Here is an 8,901-nt window from a genome sequence, read left to right on the forward strand (position 1 = left end):
TAAGGTATGTGAAAATGCAGTAAGCATTAGGGATGAGGCAGAGAAGGAGGTAAAATTTAAGAAGGGGGATCAGGAGAGGGTGAAATCACAGATGATCTGCACATCACTTATGGGACCCACCACTACTACTGCCAAAGCCTGTGTGTGTCACCCGGTGGCAAAAGGAATGGCCTGCCTGAAGCCTATTGCTGCCATGGCTGATGAACCTGCCTGCTCCAGCAGCAGGGCCGTGGAATGCCAATGTGCTTCCCCTAGGTACCTGAGGACCAGTTTGCATGGCATGCCTGGACCCAGCAAAGCCACTTTATAGCCTAGAAAAACAACTACAGCCTATGCAGATACCATTGACATTGATTACATTGGAAGAAGTCATACAAAGACTATAATAGCACACTCACCAGAAACAAAGCCAAAGCACCCTGCCCTGCAGACACTATAAATGCATCTCCAGAAAAAAATATTTTTCCTAAGAAAGGAAAGAAGTGACTGTTAAACCAGAGGCACAGATATCAAAGTAGAAACACAGGACACGTGAAACAGCAAGGAAACATGACACCTCCAATGAAACACAATTCTTCACTAACAGACCTTAAAGAAAAGGAAACCTAAAAATAATCCTGAAAAGGAATTCAAAGTAAAGATTTTAAGAAAACTCAGTGAGACATAAGAGAACAGAGATACAAAATACAAATAAATCAGCAAAATTATTTATGATGTAAATCAGAAATTCAACAAAGAGACAGCTGTCAGGCCTCTGAGCCCAAGCCAAGCCATTGCATCCCCTGTGACCTGCATGTATACGCCCAGATGGCCTGAAGTATCTGAAGAATCACAAAAGAAGTGAATATGCCCTGCCCCACCTTAACTGATGACATTCCACCACAAAAGAAATGTAAATGGCGGTCCTTGCCTTAAGTGATGACATTACCTTGTGAAAGTCCTTTTCCTGGCTCATCCTGGCTCAAAAAGCACCCCCACTGAGCACCTTGTGACCCCCACTCCTGCCCGCCAGAGAATAAATCCCCTTTGACTGTAATTTTCCTTTACCTACCCAAATCCTATAAAACGGCCCCACCCTTATCTCCCTTCGCTGACTCTCTTTTCGGACTCAGCCCGCCTGCACCCAGGTAAAATAAACAGCTATGTTGCTCACACAAAGCCTGTTTGGTGGTCTCTTCACACGGACACCCATGAAATTTGGTGCCTTGACTCGGATCGGGGGACCTCCCTTGGGAGATCAATCCCCTGTACTCCTGTTCTGTGCTCCATGAGAAAGATCCACCTAGGACCTCAGGTCCTCAGACCCACCAGCCCAAGGAACATCTCACCAATTTTAAATCAGGTAAGCGGCCTCTTCTTACTCTCTTCCCCAACCTCTCTCACTGTCCCTCAACCACTTTCTCCTTTCCACTCTTCAATCTCTCCCTTCCCTTAATTTCAATTCCTTTCATTTTCTGGGAGAGACAAAGGAGACACATTTTATCCGTGGACCCAAAACGCTGGCGCCAGTCACACTGGGAAGGCAGCCTTCCCTTGGTGTTTAATCCTTGCAGGGATGCCTCTCTGATTATACACCCACCTTTCAAGGGTGTCAGACCACGCAGGGACGCCTGCCTTGGTCCTTCACCCTTAGCGGCAAGTCCCGCTTTTCTGGGGAAGGGGCAAGTACCCCAACCCCTTCTCTCCTTGTCTCTACCCCTTCTCTGCTTTTCTGGGGACAGGGCTTAATTTCAATTTGTTTCATTTTCTGGGAGAGACAAAGGAGACACATTTTATCCGTGGACCCAAAACTCCGGCGCTCGTCACGGAATGGGAAGGCAGCCTTCCCTTGGTGTTTAATCCTTGCAGGGATGCCTCTCTGATTATACACCCATGTTTCAAGGGTGTCAGACCACGCAGGGATGCCTGCCTTGGTCCTTCGTCCTTAGCGGCAAGTCCTGCTTTTCTGGGGAAGGGGCAAGTACCCCAACCCCTTCTCTCCTTGTCTCTACCCCTTCTCTGCTTTTCCAGGGACAGGGCAAGTACCCCAAACCCTTCTCTCCTTGTCTCTACCCCTTCTCTGCTTTTCTGGGAGAGGAGCAAGTACGCCTCAACCCCTTCTCTTTCACCCTTAGCGGCAAGTCCCGCTTTTCTGGGAGAGGGGCAAGTACGCCTCAACCCCTTCTCCTTCATTCTTAGCGGCAAGTCCCGCTTTTCTAGAGGAGGGGCAAGTACCCCAACCTCGTATCTCTGTGCCCCAATCCCTTATTTCCGCACCCCCTCTCTCTGCACCCCAATCCCTTATTTCCGTGCCCCGACCCCTTATTTCTGCACCCCATCCCTTATTTCCATGCCCCGACCCTTATCTCTAAGCTGCAACCCCTTTTCCCACTTTTCTGGAAGGTAAGAACCCCCAAACCCCTTCCCTCCGTTTCTCTACTCTCTCTTTTCGATAGGCTTGCTTCCTTCACTATGGGCAAGCTTCCACCCTCCATTCCTCCTACTACTCCCTTGGTCTACGTTCTCAAAAACTTAAATTCAACGCACACCTGACCTACAACCTAAATGCCTTATTTTCTTCTGCAATGCTGCTTGACCCCAATACAAACTCGACAATAGTTCCAAATTGCCAGAAAATGGCACTTTGAATTTTTCCATCCTGCAAAATCTAAATAATTCTTGTCATAAAATAGGCAAACGGTCTGAGGTGCCTGATGTCCAGGCATTCTTTTACACATCAGTCCCTTCCTAGTCTCTGTACCCAGTGCAACTCGTCCCAAATCTTCCTTCTTTCCCTCTCTCCTGTCCCCTCAGTACCAACCCCAAGCCTCGCTGAGTCTTTCTAATCTTCCTTTTCTACAGACCCATCTGACCTCTCCCTTCCTCCCCAGGCTGCTCCTCACCAGGCCGAGCTAGATCCCAATTCTTCCTCAGGCTCTGCTCCTCCACCCTATAATCTTTTTATCACCTACCCTCCTCACACCTGGTCTGGCTTACAGTTTCGTTCCGTGACTAGCCCTCCCCCTCCCGCCCAGCAATTTACTCTTAAAAAGGTGGCTGGAGATAAAGGCATAGTCAAGGTTAATGCTCCTTTTTCTTTATCCCAAATCAGATAGCGTTTAGGCTCTTTTTCATCAAATATAAAAATCCGGCCCAGTTCATGACTTGTTTGGCAGCAACCCTGAGACACTTTACAGCCCTAGACCCTAAAATGTCAAACGGCCATCTTATTCTCAAAATACATTTTATTACCCAATCTGCTCCCGAAATTAAATGAAACTCCAAAAATTAAATTCCGGCCCTCAAACCCCACAACAGGATTTAATTAACCTCGCCTTCAAGGTGTACAATAATAGAAATAAGTTGCAATTCCTTGCCTCCACTGTGAGACAAACCCCAGCCACATCTCCAGCACACAAGAACTTCCAAACGCCTGAACCGCAGCAGCCAGGCGTTCCTCCAGAACCTCCTCCCCAGGAGCTTGCCACAAGTGCCAGAAATCTGGCCACTGGGCCAAGGAATGCCCGCAGCCCGGAATTCCTCCTAAGCCGCATCCCATCTTTGTGGGACCCCACTGAAAATCGGACTGTTCAACTCACCTGGCAGCCACTCCCAGAGCCCCTGGAACTCTGGCCCAAGGCTCTCTGACTGACTCCCTCTCGGCTTAGCGGCTGAAGACTGACACTGCCCGATTGCCTCCGAAGCCCCCTAGACCATCACGGACGCTGAGCTTCAGGTAACTCTCACAGTGGAAGGTAAGTCCGTCCCCTTCTTAATCAATACGGAGGCACCCACTCCACATTACCTTCTTTTTAAAGGCCTGTTTCCCTCGCCTCCATAACTGTTGTGGGTATTGATGGCCAGGCTTCTAAACCTCTTACAACTCCCCAACTCTGGTGCCAACTTAGACAATACTCTTTTAAGCACTCCTTTTTAGTTATCCCCACCTGCCCAGTTCCCTTATTAGGCTGAGACACTTTAACTAAATTATCTGCTTCCCTGACTATTCCTGGACTACAGCTGTATCTCATTGCCTCTCTTCTTCCCAATCCAAAGCCTCCTTTGCATCCTCCTCTTGTATCCCCCCACCTTAACCCACAAGTATAAGATACCTCTACTCCCTCCTTGGTGACCGATCATGCACCCCTTACCATCTCATTAAAACCTAATCACCCTTACCCCACTCAACGCCAATATCCCATCCCGCAGCATGCTTTAAAAAGATTAAAGCCTGTTATCACTCTCCTGCTACAGCATGGCATTTTAAAGCCTATAAACTCTCCTTACAATTCCCCCATTTTACCTGTCCTAAAACCAGACAAGCCTTACAAGTTAGTTCAGGATCTGCGCCTTATCAACCAAATTGTTTTGCCTATCCACCCCGTGGTGCCAAACCCATATACTCTCCTATCCTCAATACCTCCTTCTACTACCCATTATTCTGTTCTAGATCTCAAACATGCTTTCTTTACTATTCCTTTGCACCCTTAATCCCAGCCTCTTTTCGCTTTCACTTGCACTGACCCTGACACCCATCAAGCTCAGCAAATTACCTAGGCTGTACTGCTGCAAAGCTTCACAGACAGCCCCCATTACTTCAATCAAGCCCAAATTTCTTCCTCATCTGTTACCTATCTCAGCATAATTCTCATAAAAACACACGTGCTCTCCCTGCCAATCGTGTCCGACTGGTCTCTCAACCCCAGCACCTTCTACAAAACAACAACTCCTTTGCTTCCTAGGCATAGTTAGTGCGGTCAGAATTCTTACAGAAGAGCTAGGACCACACCCTGTAGCCTTTCTGTCCAAACAACTTGACCTTACTGTTTTAGCCTAGCCATCATGTCTGTGTGCAGCAGCTGCCGCTGCTTTAATACTTTTAGAGGCCCTCAAAATCACAAACTATGCTCAACTCAATCTCTACAGTTCTCATAACTTCCAAAATCTATTTTCTTCCTCATACCTGACACATATACTTTCTGCTCCCCAGCTCCTTCAGCTGTACTCACTCTTTAAGTCCCACAATTACATTGTTCCTGGCCCAGACTTCAGTCTGGCCTCCCACATTATTCCTGATACCACACCTGACCCCCATGACTGTATCTCTCTGATCCACCTGATATTCACCCCATTTCCCCAAATTTCCTTCTTTCCTGTTCCTCACCCTGATCACGCTTGATTTATTGATGGCGGTTCCACCAGGCCTAATCACCACACACCAGCAAAGGCAGGCTATGCTATAGTACAAGCCACTAGCCCACCTCTCAGAACCTCTAATTTCCTTTCCATCATGGAAATCTATCCTCAAGGAAATCACTTCTCAGTGTTCCATCTGCTATTCTACTACTCCTCAGGGATTATTCAGGCCCCCTCCCTTCCCTACACATCAAGCTCGAGGATTTGCCCCTGCCCAGGACTGGCAAATTAGCTTTACTCAACATGCCCTGAGTCAGATAACTGAAATACCTCTTAGTCTAGGTAGACACTTTCACTGGATAGGTAGAGGCCTTTCCTACAGGGTCTGAGAAGGCCACCACAGTCATTTCTTCCCTTCTGTCAACATAATTCCTCAGTTTAGCCTTCCCACCTCAATACAGTCTGATAACAGATGAGCCTTTATTAGTCAAATCAGCCAAGCATTTTTTCAGGCTCTTAGTATTCAGCGAAACCTTTATATCCCTTACGGTCCTCCATCTTCAAGAAAAGTAGAATGGACTAAAGGTCTTTTAAAAACACACCTCACCAAGCTCAGCCACCAAATTAAAAAGGACTGGACAATACTTTTACCACTTTCGCTTCTCAGAATTCAGGCCTGTCCTCAGAATGCTACAAGGTACAGTCCATTTAAGCTCCTGTATAGATGCTCCTTTTTATTAGGCCCCAGTCTCATTCGACAACAGACCAACTTAGACTGTGCCCCAAAAAAACTTGTCATCCCTACTATCTTTTGTCCAGTCATACTCCTATTCACCGTTCTCAACTACTCATACATGTCCTGCTCTTGTTTTCACTGCTGGTTTACACTGTTTCTCCAAGCCATCACAGCTGATATCTACCTTTTATACCTGTTTTTCTCCTTCTCTTATTCCATTTAGTTTTTCAGTTCGCACAAAACCGTATCCAGGCCATCACCAATCATTCTATACGACAAATGTTTCTTCTAACAACCCCACAATATCACCCCTTACCACAAGACCTCCCTTCAGCTTAATCTCTCCCACTCTAGGTTCCCACGCCGCCCCTAATCCCGCTTGAAGCAGCCCTGAGTAACATCGCACATTCTCTCTCCATACCACCCCCCAAAAATTTTCACCACCCCAACACTTCAACAATATTTTGTTTTATTTTTCTTATTAATATAAGAAGGCAGGAATGTCAGGCCTCTGAGCCCAAGCCAAGCCATCGCATCCCCTGTGACCTGCATGTATACGCCCAGATGGCCTGAAGTATCTGAAGAATCACAAAAGAAGTGAATATGCCCTGCCCCACTTTAACTGATGACATTCCACCACAGAAGAAATGTAAATGGCCGGTCCTTGCCTTAAGTGATGACATTACCTTGTGAAAGTCCTTTTCCTGGCTCATCCTGGCTCAAAAAGCAACCCCACTGAGCATCTTGTGACCCCCCACTCCTGTCCACCAGAGAACAAACCCCCTTTGACTGTAATTTTCCTTTACCTACCCAAATCCTATAAAACGGCCCCACCCTTATCTCCCTTCACTGACTCTCTTTTCGGACTCAGCCCGCCTGCACCCAGGTGAAATAAACAGCCATGTTGCTCACACAAAGCCTGTTTGGTGGTCTCTTCACATGGACGCGCATGAAAATAGCTATCATAAAAAATTCAACAAAGAGACAGCTATCATACTAGCTATCTAGCATGTGGGGCATGCTACGGGCTGTGTCCATGGTCAGCTAGCATCTTGAGACTGTTGAGAGTATAATGCTATAAATTTCACTTCAATGCACTGATTAGCAATTTGGATCAAGATGAGTCTCCAGTTTTGGGGTTGCAGCAACCTCTACCATTCTTTAGGAGAGACCACATTTAAGAAATCTTGCACTGAAGAGTTTAATGAATGAAATAAAAACACAATCTAAAGCTTCAACAATAGACTAGTCAAGCAGATGAAATAATATCTGAATTTGAAGACAGGTCTTTTGAAACAAACTCAGAAAAAAAACATAAAACCAAAAAGCCTATGTAGTATATGAGAAAATATTAAGTGAACGAATATTCACATTTCCTTAATTCTAAAAGGAGAAAAGATGAAAAAGAGCATAGAAAACCTATGTAATGAAATTGGAGCTACAAGTTTCCCAAGTTTGGGAAGATATAGGCATCTAGATACTTGAGGCCTAAATATCCCCAAATATAGTCAGCTCCAAAAGGTGCTGACCAAAGTGCATTATAGTTTTATGGTCAAAAGTCAAAGACTCAAAAAGATAATTCTAAAAACAGCAAGAGAAAAGTGTCAAGTTACATGTAAGAGAATCACCATAGCACTAAAAATGGATTTCCCAGCAGAAATATTTCAGGCCAAGAAAGGATGAAATGGTATATTTATTGTGTTGAAAGAAAATAATTGTTATCTAATAATACTATACCAAGAAAAGTTATACTTAAGTAATGAAGGAATAATAAATTACTTTTCAGACAAACAAAAACTAAGGGAATTCATCACTTGACTCACTCTATAAGAAACATTTAAGAGAATCCTTCATTTGGAAGAGAAAGGACATATCTGGCATCAGGAAAATGCTCAAAGTATAAAATTCACTAGTAGAACAGATAAAAAATGAGAAAGATAAAGGAATCAAGCACTATCACTACAGAAAACCACCAAACCACAGAGATGAACAATAAGAAAGAAAGAAATAAAAGGTATACCAAAAAATCAGAAAACAATTAACAAAATGGCAAGAGTAAGTTCTAACCTATCAATAAGAAAATTGAATATAAATGGTATAAATTCTCAAATTAAAAGATATAGACTGGCTGAATTTTTTTAAATCTACCTATAAATAATACCCAACAACACCCAAAAGTATGCAACACTGGAGCATCCAGATATAGCAAATGTCATTAGCACTAAAGAGAAAGATAGACCCTAACAGAACAATGATTGTGGACATTCACATCCCACTTACAGCATTTCACTAAACATGTAGATTAAAAAAATCAACACAGAAACACTGGACTTAAACTGCACTATGGAAAAAATTGATTTAACAAACATAGAACATTTTATCCAACAGCTATAGAATTAACATTCTTCTCAGCAGAACATAGAATGTTATTTAGGAGAGACTATATTTTAGGTCATACTGTAAGTCTTGACACATTTAAAATAATCAAAATTATATTTAGTATCTTTTTAGATCACAATAAATTAAAACTAGAAATCAATAACAAAAGGAACTTTAGAAACCATGCAAATACATTGAAATTAAACAACATGCCCCTAAATGACCAACACATCTATAAAGAAATTAAGAAAAAATTTAAAAAATTTTCTTGAAACAAATTTAAATGGAAACAACATATCAAAACCAGTGGCGTAAAACAGCAAGTTCTAAGAAGGAAAGTTATAGCAATAAATGCCTACATCATAAAAGTAGACATGTTTTGGCCAGGTACAGTTCCTGCCTGTAATCTCACTGCTTTTGGAGGCTGAAATTGGAGGATCACTTGAGGACAAGAGTTCAAGACCAGCCTGGACAATATAATGAAACCCCCATCTCGTAATTATTTGTATGTATATATATATTAGTTGGGCATGGTGTTGTGGTGGTGTGTTCCTATAGTCCTAGCTTGTGAGGAGGCTGTCGTAGAAGTATGGCATAAGCTCAGGAGTTCAAGGCTGTAGGGAGCTGTGATTGCACCATTGCTCTCCAGCCCGGGCAACAGAGCAAGATTC

The 8,901-nt window shown here is 43.8% G+C and overlaps 3 annotated features.

Moving 5' to 3' along the window:
• Nucleotides 616–1,456: an enhancer, noted in NCBI's record as "OCT4-NANOG-H3K27ac-H3K4me1 hESC enhancer chr4:92544662-92545502 (GRCh37/hg19 assembly coordinates)". NCBI's record gives its function as "activates a minimal SCP1, AML or CMV promoter by ChIP-STARR-seq in naive and primed H9 embryonic stem cells {active_cell/tissue: H9 hESC(naive and primed)}" and the evidence as "EXISTENCE:reporter gene assay evidence [ECO:0000049][PMID:30033119]".
• Nucleotides 3,137–3,975: an enhancer, noted in NCBI's record as "H3K27ac hESC enhancer chr4:92547183-92548021 (GRCh37/hg19 assembly coordinates)". NCBI's record gives its function as "activates a minimal SCP1, AML or CMV promoter by ChIP-STARR-seq in naive H9 embryonic stem cells {active_cell/tissue: H9 hESC(naive)}" and the evidence as "EXISTENCE:reporter gene assay evidence [ECO:0000049][PMID:30033119]".
• Nucleotides 6,243–6,785: an enhancer, noted in NCBI's record as "OCT4-NANOG hESC enhancer chr4:92550289-92550831 (GRCh37/hg19 assembly coordinates)". NCBI's record gives its function as "activates a minimal SCP1, AML or CMV promoter by ChIP-STARR-seq in primed H9 embryonic stem cells {active_cell/tissue: H9 hESC(primed)}" and the evidence as "EXISTENCE:reporter gene assay evidence [ECO:0000049][PMID:30033119]".

The sequence above is a fragment of the Homo sapiens genome, chromosome 4, assembly GCF_000001405.40.
Source record: "Homo sapiens chromosome 4, GRCh38.p14 Primary Assembly".
Taxonomy (NCBI): Eukaryota; Metazoa; Chordata; class Mammalia; order Primates; family Hominidae; genus Homo; species Homo sapiens.